The sequence below is a fragment of the Homo sapiens genome, chromosome 7, assembly GCF_000001405.40.
Source record: "Homo sapiens chromosome 7, GRCh38.p14 Primary Assembly".
Lineage (NCBI taxonomy): Eukaryota > Metazoa > Chordata > Mammalia > Primates > Hominidae > Homo > Homo sapiens.
Window position 1 is genome coordinate 29087925 of NC_000007.14, and position 23092 is coordinate 29111016.

The following is a 23092-nucleotide window of genomic DNA, read 5'->3' on the forward strand; positions in this document are numbered from 1 at the left end:
AGCTTCTATGTTTGTGCTGGCAATAAGCTGGCTTTAGAGTGCAGATAAAAATAGGCATTCATTCTCCACCCTTCCCTCTCCAACCTTCAGGCTAAAATCTACTTCCTTTTCTCTCTTCCTGCTTGTTGGAATGGCAGGAGATAATTTAGCATAGTAAATCTCAATTAAGCCTTTGGCTTTAGCTTAAAGCTTATTTCCTTGTAGTATTTGCTGGAGAGTCATTAGGGTTGCTGGATTTAGCAAATGAAAACATAAGACATGGCTTAATTTTGAATTTCAGATAACAAATAATGGCTTAGTATAAGTATGTCCCAAATATTGCATGGAATATACTTACATTAAAATTTTATTTGTTGTTTACCTGAAATTCAAATTTAACTGGGTATTTTGTGTTTTATCTGATAATCTTGGTCAGAGATAATCTCCCAGGTTACTTCTATCTCGAAAATGGCAGGATTCTCCAGCTCAAGTTCCACTTGAGGAAGTTATCATCGAGTTTCAATTTCAGTTTTTATTTCACAGCCAAAAAACTGGCTATTTTTTTTTAAGCAAGCACTTAGTAGCGTGGTAGCACTCCTGTTTCTTAAAAGAGAGTGAAGAATGAAAAAAGTAAATTTAGTAAATTAGATTTACATATGCCATTTGCTCATTTAACTGTATTTTAGTCAAGAACTCTTCTTATTACATGGTGAGCATTTTCTAGAAAATAGAATCTAGAATCAAGCCCACATGAAATTACAAATTTTAGAAGCAGATCTGCTAAACATATATATAATACATAAGTGGCCGGGCGCGGTGGCTCACACCTGTGGGAGGCCGAGGCGGGCAGATCACGAGGTCAAGAGATTGAGACCATTCTGGCCAACGTGGTGAAACCCCGTTTCTACTAAAAATACAAAAATTATCTGGGTGTGGTGGTGGGCGCCTGTAGTCCCAGCTACTCAGGAGGCTGAGGCAGGAGAATTGCTTGAACCTGGGAGGCAGAGGTGGCAGTGAGCCGAGATCACGCCACTGCACTCCAGCCTGGCGACATAGTGAGACTCCGTCTCAATAATAATAATAATACATAAGCATGTGTGTTCACAAGTGCACACTCCATGCATTTATTCAGGTACAAGAGCTACATGGCACAAGAAGCATGCTTCTTCTTGGTGATTCCATTTGGCCACCTTGCTGGCATTGTGCTAAGGACTTGTCTCATAAACAGAATTTTAGTTAAGGGCTCTCTGCTCGCAGAAAGGTACCTTAAAGGACCAAAAAGAGAAACAGATTGCAAGGAAGAATGACTAGGAGAAAATTATTCCTCAGATAAGTTTTTAAACAGAGATTGGGTGGATGCAGGGCAGAAAAGGTGAGTGGACATGATCATGCATTGTAGACCCAAAGACAGCACTGGAATCTGGTCAGTTCTAATAGAGTCAGAAGCATAATCATAAACACAAGCAACATTCAGGATAATCGAGTTTCAGATAATCTAAGCAAAAGTTCCATGCCAAAAAAGCCAAGCAAAGTGTACCTACAGTCACTGGCAGTGGACTTGAGGTAAGAGGTGGGACTCAACTACAAAGGTAGGGCTTGGACACTGGATCAAATTGAGGACTAGCTAAGACAGGGCCTGGGCGGAAGCAGCTTTCCATAAGACATGCCTATCAGTGGGCCATGTCAGTTTACCATTGTGATGGCAACACCCAGGCGTTACCACCCCTTTCCATGGCAATGACCCAAAGACTCAAAAGCTACCATCCATTCCCTAGAAAATTCTGCATGAACCAACCCTTAATCTGCATGTAATTAAAAGTGGGTTTAAATACAACTGCAAAATTGCCCTAAGCTGCTACTCGGACTAGGCAGTAGCCCTGCAGGAGCAGACACGGAGTTGTAACACTGCCCCTTCAATAAAGCTATTTTCTTCTACCTCCATCTCACCATTGAATTCTTTTTTTTTTTTTTTAATTGAGATGGAGTTTCGCTCTTGTTGCCCAGGCTGCAGTGCAGTGGTGTGATCTCGGCTCACCACAACCTCTGCCTCCCAGGTTCAAGTGATTCTCCTGCCTCAGCCTCCCAAGTAGCTGGGATTACAGGCATGCACCACCAAGCCCAGCTAATTTTTCTATTTTTAGTAGAGATGGGGTTTCTCCATGTTGGTCAGGCTGGTCTGGAACTCCTGACCTCAGGTGATCTGCCTGCCTCGGCCTCCCAAAGTGCTGGGATTACAGGTGTGAGCCACCACACCTGGCCACCCTTGAATTCTTTCCTGGGCAAATCCAAAACCCCTCACAGGCTAAGCCCCACTTTGGGGCTCATCTGCCTTGCACTGGACCGATACAAGCTCAGCAACAGGAATCCTGGCAGTGCTGCTCTGTTGGAACCCGTGAAGGGAGCCTCTTCTGCATTCACTCTACATCTAGCAAGGCTGAGCCATGATCCTCTCCACCTGGCACAGGACACAGAGTTTTCTCATTTAATATAGGAAGCCTGCTTCCTAGCTGCATTGCTATGAAGCTTTGTTTAGCAACACTACATATCATTTCCCATTGCAAACCAACATGTAGGAGAAAACTATAGCAGCACTTCCATTTGGCTGCTAAGAAAATAACTATAGGTCCACCACTAGACTGAGCACCAGGAGGGCAGGGGGTTTGAGGACTGCTTACTACTGTCTCACCAGCACCAAGAACAGCAGCTGGCACATAATAGGCAATTGGTAAACAATGGCAGAAGGAGATTGGCACCAGCTAGTGTACTCCAAATCAAAGTTAATACATTTCATAATTTGTTTTAAACCAGAGAGGCATTGTGACTAAATAGCATATTCCAAATAAGAAAAGTGGGAGAGTATTTTAACATCTTGTTCGTGAAAAAGTTTTATTTCCAAACACAAAAGCAGCAAAACTGTGAACGGTAAATGTCTCCTTACAGCCATGCACTATTAATAGTCAAAAAGAATGAGATTTTCTGAAAAAAGAAAGTTGGTTTTCAAAGGGAGAAAATGAAAGCTCCACTCTTTAAACCTGTAGTAGCCCATTTGCAGGTTTTGAAGCGACCCTCTTATTCCAAACACCCATCTGGAGAGCTGGAGAGAAGAATGTGGTCACAAAGGGAAATGAATAGTGTAAACTATAAAGGAAACAGCTGAAATCAGTTTTCTGCACCACCCTTGATTAGCTATTTTCCAGTTCTAAGAGCCCGAAGCAAAAAGAACTACAACAGCTATAAACAATAGATGCTTTGAAATAGGTTCCCTTTACATGTCAGGAAAGAGGAGATGGACCACATGTCAGCAGTCGACATCCCCATATGGAGGGGCAACTGGAAGCTGTAACTGTCTTTGGGGGAGGGGAAGGAAAGACAGAAACGGCTTGGCAGTGATGCTCTGTCTTAGAGGGGGCCCGATGCATCTCTTCAATACAGAACCTCTGCCCTCAGGGTGTTTGCTAGTTAACCACTGAGCTTGTTTGGATTTAAACCAAAGAGGGATGGGAGGTGGGGGCGGGGAGTAGGTTTCTAATCTGAAGAAAGAGAGCACACAGTGCCAAGAGAGCCCTGGCCCTGGCTCTGAAGAAGCCTGTGAGGAGGACTGCCGTCCGTTACGTCTGTGGAGGGAAGGGGAGGAGGTGCTGGGGGGAACACCCCGTCAGCATCTTGGCAAATATGTCCCTAGGACCCCACTGTATGTGGAAGCAGAAGTGTGGGGCCCTGGGCATCCCCCTAGAAACTGAATAGAAGTGATCGAATCATGGAACATGTGAAAAACAAACAAAAGTGGAGAAGACAACAGCCATATTCTTTTCTGGGTGGGCAGAGGGAGAGATCTTTGGGAAAGGGGCTTGGAAGTAGTTCTTTCTTCTCTCCCCCCGGCCACCTATCTGCCTCAGAGAGAAAGAAAAGTAAAACGGAAAGCTTTTGTCAGAGATCAGCAAACTCTGACTCCTATTAGATGCACTTTCGCTTTGAGGATTGGTAGTAATTAACAGAGTGCTTGGTGGAGGTGTGGGGTAGGGAGCTAGTTAACTCCTTCTGGCCACTAGGGTTCTTTTAGTAAATTATTATAATACATAAAGCGGTGCCCTAGTGACCAGAAAGAATCTAGGACTTGGTCTCTAGTAATAATTTGTAGACTGGAAAAATCTGACCAAATAAGAAAGGTCACTTGCTTTTTTTTAAAAATGCTAAAAATAGCAATGATTAATATGAGTGAAAAAAGGGAGAAATTATATGGACACTGTTTGGCCAGACTTACAACTTTACATTTTTCCTTTTTTTTTTTTTTTTAAGCAAAACAAAACTTTCATAAGAAGAAGAGAGAATACTAGAGACTAACAAGCTAAGTTTTCAGCCTGGAAAAGTCATGAAATAGAAGCAAAAAGTAAAAAATTGCATCCAAAAGCCACGAAAAGAAGAATCCTGAGAAACAAACAAATATCTGAAAAGATGTTGTCTCCCTGCAAATGCAAAGTTAAATACAAATTTGGAAAACAAGTAGAAACCTTTCAGATGTCTGGTTGAAAGGTTTAAAAAATAATCTTTAATTGAAAAATTCTGCTCTGTGTGTGTGGATGTGAAAATATCCTTAAATTATCTTCAGGAATTGGACTATAAGGCTCAGTCAATAAAAATTCCAACACTAGAATAATTTTCCTATTGAGATAGAAAAATGTTTGGTCTTAGGAAAGCCAAGAGAAAGCAGGAGCATTTTACCTGTATAAATCCCGTGCTACATCGTCCTCATTGACTGCATATCCGTGGGTATCATCAGTAAAACTGAAGCCTGTGCCCACCTGCAGGAGAAATAAACACGCAGGTATAAACACAGAGAAACACATGCCTTAGGGACCTGCAGAGAGGTCCCACACTGGAAGGTGACCTTGTTCCAAAGGCCAAGCTCAGACTTCAGATTTTTGCCGTTGCCCCCCTATGCCTTTAGCCCTCCTCCCAGGAGGATGCTAGGTGCCACCTATTCTCTCCACCCCCTAAAGCCCAAATAAAACAGCAACACAGAGCTTTGCCCTGGGGTCAGTGGCTGAGCTGTCCTGTGCCTCAGTGGAGACCCTGCCAGATGTTGATTTAAGGAAGAAGGATTCATCTTTTCCATCCCCTGCTACAGTATCAAAAGATCCAAAGTTGTCTCCTCTCTGAAACCTGGAGAGTGCATGGCTCTGTCCTGCCAAGAAGAAACTCTTGGTTGGCGCAGTGGCTCACTTCTGTAATCCCAGCACTTTGGGAGGCTGAGGCGGGCGGAACACCTGAGGTCAGGAGTTTGAGACCAGCCTGGCGAAACCCCGTTTCTACTAAAAATACGAAAATTAGCCGGGCATGATGGCGGGCACCTGTAATCCCAGCTACTCAGGAGGCTGAGGCATAAGAATCACCTGAGCCCAGGAGGCGGAGATTGCAGTGAGCTGAGATCATGCCACTGCATTCCAGCCTGGGTGACCAAGCGAGACTCCGTCTCCAAAAAAAAAAAAAAAAAAAAAGAAAGAAACTCTTTAGGCTGAAGAAAAAGGTAGTTGTACATTGTCTTCCTCTTCTTCTTCTTCCTCCTCCTCCTCCCCCTTCTTGTCTTTATTTGCAAGAAATATGGCCATTAAGCCATTTCATCTTCAGTAGGTAAGGAGTTTTAACATAATTAAGACTAATTTTAAACTAATATTTTCTTATTAGAACCTAGAAGTTCACAGACAACTGAACTGCAAATTCAAAAGAAACTGAACTGCAAATTCAAAAGAAGAAGCTACTATTTTTATGTCAACAATTTGCATAAGGAATGCACTCCCTATCTGGTATAAAGATTTTTGTGTTTTTGTTTTCCAAACACCCAAGGATGTTTAATTCATCTTTTACTTAAATACACAGTTATGGATGAGGAAAATGGAAGGCTGACAAAACAAGGTGGGGGAAAGAGCATGTTGACATTTTTTTCCGCTTTTATTTGTGTTCTTTTGGACCATCTGAAAAGTGAGAGAAGTTAAAGATTTTAGTTAAGAGGGCAAAGATACTCCAAATCTGTAGAAGCTGACCCTAAGTTTCTCTCCTATTTTGCACCTTAATAGAACCAATATCAGAAGACCTCCCCAAGGAGAGTATCACTTTTTGTCCAGAGATGAAGCATGTTGCTTGTCTTAACAAGTGAAGGAGGCCAAGAGCAGTAGCTCATGCCTATAATCCCAGCACTTTGGGAGGCTGAGGTGGGCGGATCACTTGAGGTCAGGAGTTCAAGACCAGCCTGGCCAACATGGTGAAATCCCATCTCTACTAAAAATACAAAAGTTAGCCAGGCATGGTGGCGCAAGTCTGTAATCCCAGCTATTCAGGAGGCTGAGGCAGGAGAATTGCTTCAACCTGGGAAGTGGAGGTTGCAGTGAGCTGAGATGGTGCAACTGCACTCCAGTCTGGGTGACAGAGTGAGATTCATCTCAAAAAAATAAAAATTAAAAAAAAAAAGTGGAGACCCATTTTGACTTTTTATATCTATAACTCTATGTGAAAGATTAGACGATTGTGAAAGATTACAAGTTCTGACACTATATAATAACCTGTGATATAAGGAACCCAAACTGTTAGTGAAAAGAAATGAATTCCTCCTCCTGGGTTACCTAATTCAGTGAACAGGACATCTCATAGGATTAAAAATAAGGAAATGGGCCAGGCGTGGTGGCTCACACCTGTAATCCTATCATTTTGGGAGGCCAAGGCAGGTGGATCACCTAAGGTCAGGAGTTTGAGACCAGACTGGCTAACATGGTGAACACCCCCCACCCCACGCTCCCATCTCTACTAAAAATACAAAAATCAGCCAGGTGTGGTGGCACACGCCTGTAATCCCAGCTACTTGGGAGGCTGAGGCAGGAGAACCAGGTTGAACCGGGGAGGCGGAGGTTGCAGTGAGCTGCCAGCCTGGGCGACAGAGCGAGACTCCATCTCAATAGAAAAAAAAAAAATGAGGAAATGAGAGAAGGCAGCAAGGAAAATTGCCAAACTCCGATATGATTATACATGTTAACAGAAAAACTAAATCTCAAAATGGTTTTAATTTTACAGATTAAATTCTATTTTCAAAAGGAAAAACGAAATCTATTTTTTAAATGTACTTAATAAAAAGGAAAAAATAAAAGACAGGAGACGCCAGCACTGACAGCTCACAGGGTCATCCCGGACTTACTGGATTGTCAATGTAAAGCATGGAGAGCGTTGTGGTCCAGGGGAAGTCTCTGTCACGCACTGTGAAAACAAAGAAGAGGGGTGAGATAGAGTCGTGGACAAGCATTCCACCGAGGCCTCATGGTGGTCAGAAGCCCAACACACCCCACGGTCCTCATGAGCTGTTGGCGTACCCTCTAACAGTGCTGCACACTCTCATGGTGGGGAACAGGCACCTGCACCTTTACCCTCCCCACTCCTCTCCTTTACTTTCCCCCAGCCCAGAGTGTTTCTACACCTGAGATAAAGCTTGGAAACAAAACCCAGCAAAAGCTTGGAACAAAGCTGGTTCATGAAAAAACACCCACCAACCACCTCTGCAATAATATCCATATGTCCAATTAAATCAATCATCCTTAATGCTCCATCTCTTGAACAGAACTACTTCAACAAAACTGGCACATAAGCCTTTATACTGAGTCACAAACTGGCTCACACTCCAAATTCTGACCCAGGGGAAGTAAACAAAATTAAAAAAAAAAAAAAACAAAATGAGATGAAGGTAAACTTAGTGACAGCCAGATGTTGCTCTTTCTTTATCCTTCCTCCGCCTCAGCCCCCACCGGGAATAGCGTCTTGCTTCCAAGTTATCAGATAATGAGTGTGACTGAACCATAAAGTGTTTAGTTCATGTGAGTAATTAAGAATATAATTCCACCCATTAGTCCACTGCAAAGAGCTGTCCCAAATAGTAATAAATACCAACTGTTTTGCAAACCCAGAATGCTTGAGTCAGCAGCAGACTGCAAGAAAGCGGATTAGAACTTTTCACCCAAATTTCAAGGGAGAAAGCAGCCCAGTCAGGACACTCACCCCGAGGCTCCTCCTTCTCGGATGGATATTGCCAGAAAGTTGTGTTTTGATAATCTGGAACGGTTAAGCTATTCATAGTGGTTCAGTGTTTACTCTAAATTAGTTTTGGAGCAGGTATGAGGCTCAGATGAAAGATTCTATAGGAAATACAGTGCAAGGGATACTTACAGGTCATGTTACTTGTGACAACATAAGGCCCATGTTCCACAAAGAGTCCAAACATGGATGAACCTCCCGGCCCACCCTGTAGCCAGAGAACTACTGGGGCATCTTCTGGCTGTATCTAGAGGAAACAGTAAAACCAGTGACCACACAGAACACTCACTTAAGGCTACAGAACACACACAAGCAAACTTACCCAAATCCTCTCTGTGTTACAGGGCTGTGACTAAATCCTACAAAACCTCCCCAGACCTCAGTAACCACTCTCCACTATGAGCAAAGTACTGATCATCTTTGGTTCTTTGAATGAGGCTGTGCCTCATATGCTGGTGTCTTCTTATCATGCAGTCAAGTCTTTTCCCAACAAGAGACAGAAAGCTCCTTAAATGTAGATGCTTGGCTTGTGCATGCTGCCAGACATCTAGCATACTGCCTGGGGCATGGTTATATATTTTTAGCTGTTTAAACTAAAATTTGGGACTCTTCCATTTAACACACATATTCCCAACAGAGGCACAACAAAGAATCCATTCTCAGTGACACCTTCCCTTCTGCACTGAGAGCCCAAACGCCTTTCTGATTTTACTCACTAAGAACGTGTTCACAGCTGGTCGCGGTGGCTCACGCCTGTAATCCCAGCACTTTGGGAGGCCGAGGCAGGCAGATCACCTGGGGTCAGGAGTTCAAGACCAGCCTGGCCAACATAGTGAAACCCTGTCTCTACTAAAAATACAAAAAGTTAGCCAGGCGTGGTGGCACATGCCTGTAATCCGAGCTACTTGGGAGGCAGAGACAGGAGACTCGCTCAAACCCTGGAGACGGAGGTTGCAGTGAGCCAAGATTGCACCACTGCACTCCAGCCTGGGTGACAGAGCGAGACTCTGTCTCAAAAAAAAAAAAAAAAAAAAAAAAAGAATGTGTCCATAGGGACCAGGACAACTTCATTCAACATGGTGGAAAAATGAGGAGGAGCAGACAGCCCCAGGGGCCTTTAGCCAACGCAAATAACAACGACAAAACCCTGAACAAGGTACAGATTTATTTAGGAGATGTGGGAGACATAAACTAGAAAAGGGTATTGGCAGGGCGGTGATGTTGAAAATGAGCTACTGGCCGTAGTGTCAATACCATCACCTTCAATGACAGAGACCTTTTCAACTATTTCATTCAATGTGTATTTATTGAGCACCCATTATGGGCCAGGCATAGCGCCGGGAGCTAAGTACACAGAACACTGAGTGAAGAAGAAAACGCATGTCCTCTTGGAACTTAGAATTGCATGGGCAATATAGGCAGTAAGTAAGAAATAAAGACAAGGCTGGGAGCGGTGACTCATGCCTGTAATCCCAGCACTTTGGGAGGCCAAGGCGGGTGGATCACCTTAGTTCGGGAGTTCAAGACTAGCCTGACCAACATGGCAAAACCCCATCTCCACTAAAAATACAAAAAATTAGCTGGGCGTGATGGCGGGTACCTGTAATCCCAGCTACTTGGGAGGCTGAGGCAGAAGAATCCCTTGAACCAGGGAGGCAGAGGTTGCAGTGAGCTGAGATAGCACCACTGTACTCAAGCCTGGGCAACAAGAGTGAAACTCTGTCTCAAATAAATAAATAATTAAAGACAATGATTGGAGAGTGTGAAAAGGAAATATGGGTGATTTAAGAGTCATTGGAGGCTGAAAAGGAGAAGGTGATTAGCGAAGGCTTCAATGAGGTCTGAGCGCTGCCCTGAGCCCTGAAAGCTGAGAAGGATCCAGCCAGGAGCAGAGCCAGACAGCAGAGCTGTGCACAAGGGAAATGACAAGGGAAACCCTCTCACCAGAACAGACTTAGAAAGGGAGGAAGGCACAGTCGCCAGGCGAATCCCCCAGAACCACCTGAAAAAGCTCTACTTGGCTCCCCTGCTTGGCTTCTAGCAGGACCTAACAGTGGGCCCTTGCATGATGGCATGGCTCGTTGGATGGTTAGTCAGCAAGGATCCCCTGGCTTCAGCCCAGAATAAAATCCCACCACCTCTGACTTGGCCTGGCTATACAGACAAATCAAGGTGTTGTTGGAAGGTCTGAGTGGATGCGTTCCATTGACCTGGATGGCGGGAGAAGGCTGAGGCAGAAGGCAAGACTGACTCAAGAGAAGGTGACTGGGATGCCACCGCCAAGACCTGCAGGAAGAGCTGAGCAGAGTTCTAACCATGGCCACAGAGGGCACAGAGGAACTTTCCCAGTCACCAAGAGCCTGATAGAGTCCTTCACGGCTTTGGAAAGGGGCCCAGGGGGACCTGCTACAAGATAGGTGCTGGGAAGAATGGCCATGAGCTGGGGCACACCCCTCCTATGAGGCGCCACCTCTCGGGCTCATTCTTGAGTGTTAACAAATTAAGCAACATAATTAAAGCCCTTCGAACAATGCCTAATGTATGATAAAAGCACAATAAATATAAATGATTATTATGACTAAGGAAACAGGTAGAAATGGTAGAAGCCAAGAGTCCGACTGAGGCCTCTGATGAGCAGCCTGAAGCTCCAGGGGTCAGCGCGGTATTATATAACAAATAAGCATGGAAGCTCTTGCCCCAAACTGTTTGAATTCAAATCTAGGCTTTACTACCCACCAGTGTGTAACTTTTGGCAAGTTGCCTAAGCTCTCTGGATCTCAGTTTCCCCACCTATAAAAATGGGATCAATAGGCCAGGCACGGTGGCTCGTGCCTGTAATCCCAGCACTTTGGGAGGTCGAGGCGGGCGGATCACCAGAGGTCAAGAGTTCGAGACCAGCCTGACCAACATGGAGAAACCCCATCTCTACTAAAAATACAAAAAAATTAGCTGGGCCTAGTGGCACGTGTCTGTAATACCAGCTACTTGGGAGGCTAAGGCAGGAGAATCGCTTGAACCCAGGAGGCGGTCATTGCGGTGAGCCAAGATTGCGCCATTGCACTCCAGCCTGGGCAACAAGAGTGAAACTCCGTCTCAAAAAAATAATAATAATAATAAATAAAATAAAAATTGAAAAAAGATCAATAATAGTAGCTACACTGTATGCTTGCTGGGAGGATTAAATGAATTCCTTTTCATAAACCTCAGCTGTATAGTATGTGTTCTCCAAATATTAGCTATTGCTATAATAGATAATCACGAGGAATTTGTAGATGGCTTGAACACAATCTATCTGTAAATGACAGAATAGGAAAGTGGGCTGTGTGGTGGTTTTATTCTCGCTCCTGTAGCCCACAACTTCCCTGATCAGTTTTACTAGTTATTCCCCCTGCCTCAAGTGTTCAAATGTCTATGAACAAGTCAACAGAATGAGGGTTTTGTTTTATAAGTCAAAGCAGAGGCTGGGTATGGTGGCGCATGCCTATGATCCCAGCACTTTGGGAGGCCGAGGCAGCAAGATCACCTGAGGTCAGGAGTTCGAGACCAGCCTGGCCAATATGGTGAAACCGCATCTCTACTAAAAATACAAAAATTAGCTGGGCATGGTGGCAGATGCCTGTAATCCTAGCTACTTTAGAGGCTGAGGCAGGAGAATCACCTGAACCTGGGAGGCAGAGGTTGCAGTGAGCCGAGATCATGCCACTACACTTCAGCCTGGGCAACAGAACAAGATTCTGTCTCAAATAATAATAATAATAAGTCAAAGCAGAAAAAATGAAAATCAATGACAGCCTTTTTAAGCTGCTGCTTGGAAGCAGAGTGAGCCGTGGAATTGGGAGCCAGACAGGCTGTGGTTCCAGTTGGCCACATAACAGCTGTGCCATCCTGGCCCTCAGTTTCCTCGTCTGTCAAATGACCATAATGCCTGCCTCACAGGATTGCCTGAAGGCTCTGAGGAGCAAATGTACATGAAATGATGCTGTAAACTCCAATGTGCTGAATAAAAATAACCAGCTCTGCCCCAACCTGCCTGTGGAGCTGTGTTTTGTTTAAATAAGTGATTTTTATCTCCTCTCAGATCCACTCACCAGTACTGCCTTCCACTTGTATTCACTCAGCAGTAGGAGCAAATTACACATATGAGAGGTAGAAAAACAATGGGATCTGGGTGGAAGGTAGCCCCTGCTCTTCCCAGCCTCCCAGGGAGTGTGAGATGCTGCGAGTCCAACTGATTCCAGCGGATATCCAGCCCCACTTCCTTCCTAAACTACATGTGAACTCCCAGAAGCTGCAATGTGCTCATTAAAACATTTTGGAGAGCTTTTCTCTTTTGGAGAGTAGTATTTTTATACTACTGCCTAGGCCCAAATCCCAGAGATTCCAATTCCATTGGTCTGTGGGGAGGAGGCCTCATCAGTCTTTCTCAAAAGCTCCCAGGTGGTTCTAATGTGCAGGCGGCGCCAAGGGTCTGAAGGTGGATGGAGAGTTTGCCCTCTAAATATCTCAGGCCTCTGGTCTCCAGCCTGTCCTCCCCTATCCTCCACCCTATCCTCCCTTGGCCTTCCATGTCCCTTCCTGTGACCTGGCACAATGAACCGGACCTCTGGACTCAGAAAAATAGCCTGACCCTGAGAGCCCACACTACAAAGTCAAGTCAAACACCTCAGTGCCAAATATCTTTATTATGCAACTTTGAAGCACAGGACACTGCATTCTTGGAATGCTTAAATAACAAGATCTGTGTACACACCTCCAGCCTCAGCTGACCTTGCTCCTGATTTACTTTCCTGGAGGAGGTGAATGAGGCTCAATAACCCTGGAAGAAGCCTGTTTTTAAAGAAAAGCCCACACATACATCTTTCTACTTTGATGGGCCAACCAACCTGTGAACTAATGTCACCCTTATCTGTAATAAAACATAAAAGTCAGATCTGGAAAATAAAAGTATATGTGTTCAATGCCAAAACCCCAAGAGTCAGTTGTGTCACAGCATGCAGACTTTTGTAATATAATATGGCATCAAATGTCATGATATGCAGTATAATATTAATTATGTCCACAGTAATGGCATGAGGTTATTATGTGACAATCCTTAGGGTGATATATTCAGCTGTCAATTGTGAGAATGCAGCCTTTAGCCAACTCTCAACTTTGGAAAGAATAAAAGACTTCCTGAACAAAACCACATTGCAATACTTAAGACCGAATGAAGAAATGACCACTTTAGTTCATTTACAGCATTACAAAATTCAGGAATTTAAAAACATTTACCATATTGAAGTTGTAATTCAAGAGTGTATGAAGCAAGACAATTAATGCATTTATTTTTTTCAAAAGCTTTAAAATGTGGCTGGGCGCGGTGGCTCATGCCTATAATCCCAGCACTTTGGGAGGCTGAGGCGGGTGGATCACGAGGTCAGGAGATCGAAACCATCCTTGCTAACACGGTGAAACCCCGTCTCTAAATACAAAAAATTAGCTGGGCGTGGTGGCGGGCGCCTGTAGTCCCAGTTACTTGGGAGGCTGAGGCAGAAGAATGGCGTGAACCCGGGAGGCGGAGCTTGCAGTGAGCCAAAATAGCGCCACTGCACTCCAGCCTGGGCGACAGAGCGAGACTCCGTCTCAAAACAAAAAAAGCTTTAAAATTTTTCTTAAAACTTTTTCTATTATAAAAACAGTACTTATTCTTAACTAAAGGTTTTTTTTTTTCTTCAGTGAAGGTATTTTTAACAGCCCCTCTTCCCCGACAAATTCTACTTCCTAGAGATGATCATGGAGATGCTTATGTTTACCCTTCCAGATTTTTCTCTATGGTCCTCCTCTACACATACACATATAGACATATCCTATAGCTATTATATATGCAATATACATACACACGTTTTTTTTCCAAAAATAGAACCAGGCTATACTCTATATATGCTTATTCACTTAACAATATGTTGTGAAGATCTCTTTATATCAATACATATCATTATTTTGCTCAACAGTATGCACTCTACGAATTTACCACAATGTATTAATTCATTTAACATACAACGCCAACTACTCACAGGGATTGTCTAAGGCTGTGGATGCAGACCAACTCCTACCCATGAGCAGGCAGAATACTTTATAGTTACGAGCATGGATTCTGGAGCCAGAATGCCAAGGTTTGAATTCCAGCTATGCTATTTTGTAGCTCTGTGACCTTGGGCAAGTTACTTAACTCCTCTGTGTTTCAGCGTCCTCTGATTGAAAATATGGATACTATTAATGTCTGTCTCCTAAGGTTTTCATGCAGTTTTAGAGTCGATATATGCACAGCACTGAGAACAGTGCCTGGCACATCTATTTAAGTGTCAGCTCTGATGATTTTTCTGCTGGTGTGGGAAGACAGTAAACAAGCAACTAAATAAATGAGTGATATGAAAGAGGAATGGAGAGACACTAGATTAAGTACTTAAAGAAGGCCTCTGGTGGTAGGGTAACATTTGAGCTGAGATCTAAAATATGAGTAATTCCCTCATACTACATATTTAAGAAGAAAATAAAACCTCTACTAATGACTTAAAGGTCAAAGTCCTGCAGCAAGAACTGATGATTAAAAGGGAACGGACAAAAAAGTTCTAAATATTAAAGAAAGAACAAAGGAATCCTAAATACTTAAGTGAGAAGTCTCCCTAGCAACAGAAGAGGGTCGGCCCGCGGGTCCCACAAACCTGGGCCCTTTATTGGAGCACAAGAAGCAACTATGGCTTTGCCTCAGAAGCCCTTTCGATTCTTCTGGCGACCCCTGGTGACCAACCCATGAACTTGGACACTCTTTCCTCAGGGTTTCTTCCAGAAGGAACGGCCCAGAAAGAGAGAAGTTATCTATTCTGCCAGAATCTCTACAAAAAGGAATTTCACAATTTCTCACATTAGCAAATTCCATTGCTTATTCACAATGATGATGAAAAATCTACTCCATGTCTTAATGGAATGTCATTCAAAGAAAGTGAAACTCATTGAAACAAAACTAGTACTAAATCCTGTCTGCCCTATTGTTCCCCAGATTGATATACCCTCCCTGGACAGCATCACCTTTGCCCTGAGTCTTCCTTTCCACCCTCATCTTCCATCAGCCCTTATCCCCCAGGCCCTCCTTTGCATCAGAGAGAAAGAGAGAATAGAGATAACCTTCTGCTCAGACCATATGCCTATCACTGAAACAGTAAGTTAATATACTGGGGGGGGGGGGGGGGTGCTAAAAACTTGCCAATTTCAGTACTTTTAAGAAACATAATTGTTGTTTTGTTTTTTTTTTTTTTTGAGATGGAGGCTTGCTCTGTCGCCCATGCTGGAGTGCAATAGCGTGATCTCAGTTCACTGCAACCTCCACCTCCCAGGTTCAAGTGATTATCCTGCCTCAGCCTCCTGAGTAGCTGGGATTAGAGGTGTGCACCACCATGCTCAGCTATTTTTTTTTTTTTTTGTATTTTTAGTAGAGATGGGGTTTCACCATGTTGGTGAGGCTGGTCTCGAACTCTTAACCTCATGATCTGCCTGCCTCGGCCTCCCAAAGTGCTGGGATTACAGGCATGAGCCACCACACCCAGCCTCATGATTGTGTTTTATAAGAGGACTTTATTGGAGTGACCCTTGGAAATTTTAGGAATCTCAACAAGTGTTAGGGCAACATTTTGGACCGGAAAGTCACTTAAAGTAGACAGGCATCTGCCAATCTTCAGGACTGGTTACATATCCCTAGCACCCCTTTCTTCCTATCTCCAATAAGGAATGCCACGCTTGGTTAGAGAAAACAGCAACTAAACCACTAACAGATCCAAATCAATGGCACTGCTTAAGATGAGAAGTGCAATTAGTAAATTAATTAAGGCCCTCTTCACACTTCTATATGCAGAGGCTGATCATTTGCTTGGTTTAAGTAATGTGTTCTACCTTAATTGAAGTCATTAGTACCCCAAGTAAATGTCTTTAAATTCCCACAAGTATGTTTAAATGGACTCCCATTTTGCCATACAGATCCCAGTTCAGCTAATACTTTAGCTGCTACACTAATGGTATTAATCAAGGCAGAGCTTTTTATTTAAAGCAATTAATTTTGTGACTAGAATTGTTAAATAGGTACATAACATTTTAATTCTACACACACACACTCAACACATACACACAAGTTGCTAAAGACATTCATGTTTTTCAAAGAAATTTTATTTCAAGTGGTTGGTGTTGACTACTCACCAAATCTTCCTTTACTATGACTGCTGCCATGGCACCATCATACAGAAAATTAATTTTTTCAAAATCTTTTTTGTTTTTTGTTTTTGAGATGGAGTCTCACTCTTGTTACCCAGGCTGGAGTGCAATGGCACGACTTGGCTCACTGCAACCTCCACCTTCCCAGTGCAAGCGATTCTCCTGCCTCAGCCTCTGGAGTGGCTGGGATTACAGGTACCTGCCACAGCCCCTGGCTAATTTTTGTATTTTTATTAGAGACGGGGTTGCACCATGTTGGCCAGGCTGGTCTCGAACTTCTGACCTCAAGTGATCCACCTGCTTTGGCCTCCCAACGTACTGGGATTATAGGCATGAGCCACTGCACCCAGCCTCAAAATCTTTTTTTGTTTTGAGGCCTTCTTGCATCATTCCGAAGCTCCTGACTCTCATCAAGTTTTGGCTTGTCTCATTGATTTGTACCAGCTTACACCCCATTAGAATCCTAACTTTCTCCTTCCTAACCTTTCTACCTGGCTCATTCCTTCATGAGATAGTTATGGCTATTCTCTTTGTGCCTCCTGCCAGAAAGTTATACTTTATAAGGAATAGGGAAGTGGGCGGATGCAGGGAGGTGTGGAGAAGACACCTTACTTTCCCTTCTTGATGCAAAAGTTAGTTACTTTCTCTCTATGTTATTTCATTTCCACAAAGGAAATCAGGCATGCAAAAGTTTCTGCAGAGTGTTCAAATATACCTATACCTATGGGTGGTGATCTATAACATCACCTTAAGCTACTTTCTTTTTATTTTGTCTCTGACACCCTCTATTCTTCTATATCTCTGATGCCATTAAGTACGTAGCAAAGAGAAGATAAATAGAGTCAGTTTGAAGAAGACAATTATCTGTGATCTCCAAATCTTTGTTGCACTGCTGGTGGATTTGTATCCACCTGTGTTAGATACATTTTGAGATATATTTTAATAAATCTGTCCAGTCCATGTCCCCTTCTCTAAGAAATGAGTCTCCATTCATCCATGGCTAGCCTGCTAGCCATGTTTATATCATGGCTAATACCCAGCACCTTCAGTCTCAGCTGACTGGACCAAGGAAGAAGACGTGATCCAGACTGTGGCAGCCATGGGTGCTAGTTAATCTCTGCTGGCTACATGATGCAAGGACAGGTAAACTTGGAAATGAAAGGTTGGCCATACTTGGCCGAGTGCCTGGAGAAGCAAAGCATGTTGATCTGTCAAGGGAGAAGAATGAAGCACAGATGAGGGAATCCTGTGGTCTCAGACAGAATAGGGCTGAGACAGAAAGACTGACTGCCTTTCCTCCCGAGGCTTTTCTATTACTCGTTCCTTAGGCCAGACCACATGTCCAGCCCTTGGTGTCTCAGGGCTGGAGAAAGATTTAGAATGGTACCTGCATCAGTTAAGGCCCAATCAGAAGTCAAAAACCACAGAGTCATTTTAATTTTTTATTTAATTTATTTTTTTACTTGGAAACATTCACCTTTAATTCTGTTACAAGTTCCAGTGTTTACTCTGGCCCCAGCCAGCCATGGGTATCACAGACACCCTTGGGCAAAAGTGAAGATGAAACACCAGAGGGGCCTGTTCTCCCACAGCCACATCCTCAGTGTTGGCCAAAGACCAGAATGCTGGGTAGGCTTCCTATGTCCACTAAGGAACAAGGAAATGTTAATACCTAGAAGTATTCATTATTACAGAGAACTAAACATACATATACAAAGAGAATTCCAAAGAATGCCCTGGGCTAGGGAGAGTGCTCACAGATGGACAAGCCCATAAGTTAGGGAGGGGACCCTTCCCAAGGCTGCTGTCCAGACCTCGGTGGAGAAGGTATGGTTGCAGCCTTCTGAGTAGCTGAGAAGTTCACTGAGTACCCTGGTCCAAAGCTGGTCAACCATCCTTGGGTAAATAGGAACAGGTGGGCTGTGACTGGCAGGTGGACACAGAGAGACTCAGGAGGCTGGGAGCCTGCTTGCCTGAAAGGTTGCACACAGCCTGGAGCACACGGTGTCCACACTGGGAGGGACAAGGGAACGACCCTCTGGGGTGCAAATGGCCAAGGCTAGTGAGAGGGCTGCAGAGAGAGCAGGGCTGTAGGGAGCCTGCTCACCGGCAAGGCCTAGGGTATATTGTGTTCATACTGGGAGGGCCACAGCCAGGTGATCACCTGGACAGAGCCAGGGATATCATCTTGCTAAGAGTCTTGGTGGTCTGGGTGCATAGCTAAGGCAGAGTGTCACTGGATGTCCCCACCCCCCACCTCAACACACTGCTGACAGACTAGGCAGTGGGGCCAAGAAAAAGCCAAAGGCAGGACATAGGCACAGAAAGAGAAGACAAATTCCTCCTGCAATGTCTCTCCAGCACCCTCTACTGACAAAGCTTAATATTGTGCTTGCTGCAAAGGAGAAATGCTGAGAGCTCTACTATGGCAGAACAGGGAAGAGGGTAGAATTGGAGCTGAGAGGCAAAAAAAAACAAAAATTAAAAGTAGCTCGCATAGTAATCCCCACTCCTTATGTCCTCATCCTTCCCCCAGGCAGGGAGTATATGCTAGTTGTCACAAGATCTCACAGCCACAGCCTAGAAGTACAAGACAAGAAGCTATGTTAGTTATCTAATGCCGCACAACATCTCTCCAAAACTTAATGGCTTAAGACAACAATAATAATTTTTGATCTCTCGGGATTCCTGTGGGTCAGAAATTTGAGGGTGTCTGGCTGGGCAGTTCTGGCACAGGGTCTCCCATAAACTGTGGTCAAGGAATCAGCCAGAGCTGCAGTCATCAGAAGGATTGACTGGTACTAGATGAACCTCTTCCAAGGTTGGTACCCACTGGAGGGTGGAGGCCTCACTTCCTCTCCACAGAGGCTCAGCCATGGGGCTGTTTGAGTGCCCTCCCAACATGGCATCCTTTCCTCAGACTGAAAGATTCAAGAGACCAAGGCACAAGTAATATTGCCCTTTATAAGGTAGCCGTGGAAGTCAAACATCATCATTTCTGCTAGCATGTTGGTCACAAAGCCAGCCTTGATTCAGTATGGGAGGGGACTGCCCAAGGGCACATACACCAAGGGATGAATGAAGAGCACTGGGAACTAGCCTGAAGGCTGGCTACCACACAGGCCACACGTTCAAGGGCTCCTTCATTCAATCCACATCCTGATTTGGAGTTACTGGATATTTTTATACTTAACTATAGAACCACAGAATGTAATGCTGGGATGGAGCCTTAGCAATCCACTAGGTTTAACATCTTTATTTCTAAATGAGAGAACTGAGGCCCAGAGAATACGAATGCCATCTCCCAAGTTATACAGCCGGGAATCGCAGACTTGGAATTAGAATCCCTGTATCCAAACCTCTAGATCTCTTTTCCCAAATTCCAGCCCATTGACTGGCTGCACTGGGACCACTGTGGAGCACATTACAAACACTGATCCCTGGGCCCTCTCCAGATCTGCAGAATCAGAATCTCTGCTGGGTGCAGCTAGACAATGAGCTGGGAGATCTGTCATATTTCCAAAGCTCTCCAGGTATTTCTGGTGAGCAGTAGCACATTTGGGAATTCCTGTCCTCTTCCACATTAACTGTGTTACTGGAGAAGTTCAGATGTGCAGATGAGGGAGTGTACATGGCACCATGCTGAAGTATGGTGGGGCCTGATTCCACGCCTTCACCCCCAGGAAGGGCTGTTCTGTTGGCTTCCAGGCACCTCTGGGACATGCTCTTCTACTGCCAGAGAGAACGCCTTTTGTTTTGGACCAGGAGCATTAGAGCGGTTCATTTTCTCTCCAATTGACTGCTGATTGTGCTATCTGATCATCCTAGTATCTGATTCAGCAGGGCCCAGCCTGCAGGATCCTGAGAGGGAGCCCTTCCTGTAGGTTGCCCCAGCACCTCACGGGCCTCAGCAGTGTAATCCTGATCTTTCATAGACACTAGATTCTCAAATCCAGGAATCTGGGCCTTTCCTCTTGGCCTGAGGATCAAGGTGGGGTCCTCCGTGAAGGGGCCTAGGCCTGACTCTAAATGCCCCAGGTTTTGGCTCCATGGCATTTGAGGTAACTGATCTGCAGGTTTTGGCTAAATGTGTCCAATGAATTATCTATGTTCCTACATCTATAAGGCAAAGTCCAATACTAGCTATTTTTTTTCCAATGAGAAGGATGCTGACTTTAAAGAGTAATAATCTCTATGTCTTTTTTATCTTCTTCAGTGCAAAAAAATCCCAATTTCACTTAGTAATTTCCTGACCTGGTAGCAATTAATCCACCTTGATGGCTGGGGTTCAGGTCCTTCTAATTTACAATTTCCCTCTATTTGCTGTCATCTGTAACCTCTCAAATTGTGACTGGTTTAGTTCTTGACATTATTTGTGTTAATAATTTTAAAAGTAATAATAACCATAATAATCGTAATCATAATGAAATAATGACAATAGCAACTATAGTTACTATGTTTTAGGTGCCACTCTAATGCTTTCCCTTATTATCTCTTCTGTCTCAAAACCATTGCCAAGTAGGTATTTTGGTCCCCATTTTAAAATGAGGAAACCAGTGCTCAGAGACACTAAGAAATTCCCCAAGGTCACCTTTAGCTTAAGCAGCGAAGCCAAGATTTCTATCCAAGCCTGACTTACCGAAGAGACTGTAGTCTTGGCCACTATACTCAAGTGCCTTCCATGACTCGTTTTCTCTGGATCTAACACATGACGGCCAAGCTCAAGGATTTCCACATCGGAGGCCTAATTTTATATTCCAGTTCTGCCAATTTCTAGTTGAGTAACTTGGGGCTGATTATTTAATCTCTTCATCTATAAAATGAGGATAACAATTCCTTCCTCATGGGGTTCAGGTAAGGATTAGATAAGAAAATGCACAGTGCCTAGCACATAGTCAGTGTTCAATTACCAGCAGCTATAACTGCTACATTTCTGCTAGTTTCCTTATACTTTTTATCCCATGCAAAATGCCTACTCCTTTCTCTTGCAGGTTGTATTCCCACTGCACACCAATTTCAAGTTCTGGAATTTATTCTGCACTGATTTGTATACAATAACAGGGCAGTCTCACAGCAATAACAGGAAAACAAAACTAATTTAAGAAACAGCATCCCCCCAAAAAATACTCAGAGGATATGACAAGTGTGCCATCCTTCCTGGATCTCTTATTTTCTCTACCTTCAGTTTTTTAAAGGGGTCATTTCTCCCCTGGTGACAATATCAGCTGCTTCCCTATGACAGACAATGAACTAATATCTCTGCCAAATGTGTCTCAGTGACCACTGCTTCTTCTTGTCACACCTGCTTTATCTCCTTCACCCAAACTGGTGTGACTCCATAATTTATAGCCAGAAGCCTCAGATATCTGGCTCTGCATGTGGGCTTCCTGGTAAGAGGTTCTTGGAACAATCTATCTTGGCTGCCACATGGTGGTACCCATCTGTGGGTACCGTTTTTTCATCTCTGCCCCTCTTCTCCCGAAGCTTCATCTATCACTCTCACCAGAACACCATGTACACTTAAAGACATTCTTTCCCGTTGTGTCTCCTGGGATCATCTTAGGTTGTGTTTATGGCTACAGTACTGGACTCAAAAGAACATAACCTGGTCAGGGGATGCACAGCTAGGTTTTCATTTAATTAAGGGGAAAAAGCAAAAACCAACAGTCCAGTCATTGTTTAATGAAGGGGGTTTTCAGACTTCAGTCTGGCAACCAGTAGAGCATGCAAACTAAATTCCTTTCCATGAACAGGTTTACGGTGCCAAAGCACCACCTACATTCTAGACATAGCTGTTCACCTGCCCAGAGGCAACCTGAGAAAGAAAAAAACTGGGTTTTTGCTTTGTTTCCATCTGATCTCTTCTCTCACCCTTAGTTCCTGTTTTTACAAATCTGGATCATTACCAAAGAAGACTCAACATTCAGAGGGTAACAAGGAACTGACTGGTGTCAAAAACAAGTAACAAAGCAGAAGGGAAAGTAAGGAATTGGAGTTCTCCAGCTAGAGTGGGGGAGGAGGACTAGAGTGGAAAGAAGATGGGGAAGCAGTCCTAACAGTTCTTAGAGAATCCGCAAGCTGGATTAGGGAAGCCAACCTCCACAGGCTGCACAGGTCTCTTCACTCCCCTCATTTCAACCCTCAACATGGGAAACACATCACCTCTGTCTGGGTTTGGCTGCTGTAGGCATTTCTTTCTGGTAAAAGGCGTGTTGGTCACTTTTCAGCCAGGAGCTTCAGGCAGAGGGTAGTGGCCCATAGGCTGGAGTGGTTTCACAGAGAATGGTTCACTTGGTAATTCTGCAACCTGCTGGCTTCTGCCAATTTACAAGTCAGAATCTCTGGGGGAAGTCAGAGAATTCTTGTATGCAATAACATGTGAGAATCCCTGAGAGAAAACATATCGAGACTCAATAATCTAGGCAAATGTTCAAGTATCCATTTTGTACAGAATAATAACTCCCTAAAGATGTTAGTGTCTTAATTCCTAGAATATGTTAGGTTAGAGGGCAAAAGAGAATTCAGGTTGCAGATGGAATTAAAGTTGCTAATCAACTGGCCTTAAAATAGGGAGATTATCCTGGATTATCCAGGTGGCCCAAATGTCATCATAAGAGTCCTTTTAGAAGACAGAGGTAGAAGACAAGAGTCAGAGAAGGAAACATGACCATGGAGATTATGTGCTGTGAGAAGGACTCAGGCTGCCTTTGCAGGCTTTGAAGCTGGAGGAAGGGACCATAAGCCAAGGAATGCGAGCAGCCTCTAGACACTGCAAGAGGCAAGAAAAGAGATTCTCCCTTAGAGCCTC

The 23092-nt window shown here is 44.0% G+C and overlaps 1 protein-coding gene across 21 annotated transcripts in view; it reads right to left on the reverse strand.

The window, feature by feature from the left end:
• CPVL (carboxypeptidase vitellogenic like) overlaps positions 1-23092 on the reverse strand; it is a 200816-nt gene that overhangs the window by 93289 nt on the left and 84435 nt on the right. For all 21 annotated transcript variants that reach the window (NM_001371268.1, NM_001371258.1, NM_001371256.1 and 18 more), the window contains 3 exons: positions 8179-8293; positions 7160-7218; positions 4699-4778 (listed from right to left, as the gene is read on the reverse strand). In NM_001371268.1, coding sequence (NP_001358197.1) covers positions 4699-4778; positions 7160-7218; positions 8179-8293 — 254 coding nt within the window. The remainder of the gene's footprint in view (positions 1-4698; positions 4779-7159; positions 7219-8178; positions 8294-23092) is intronic.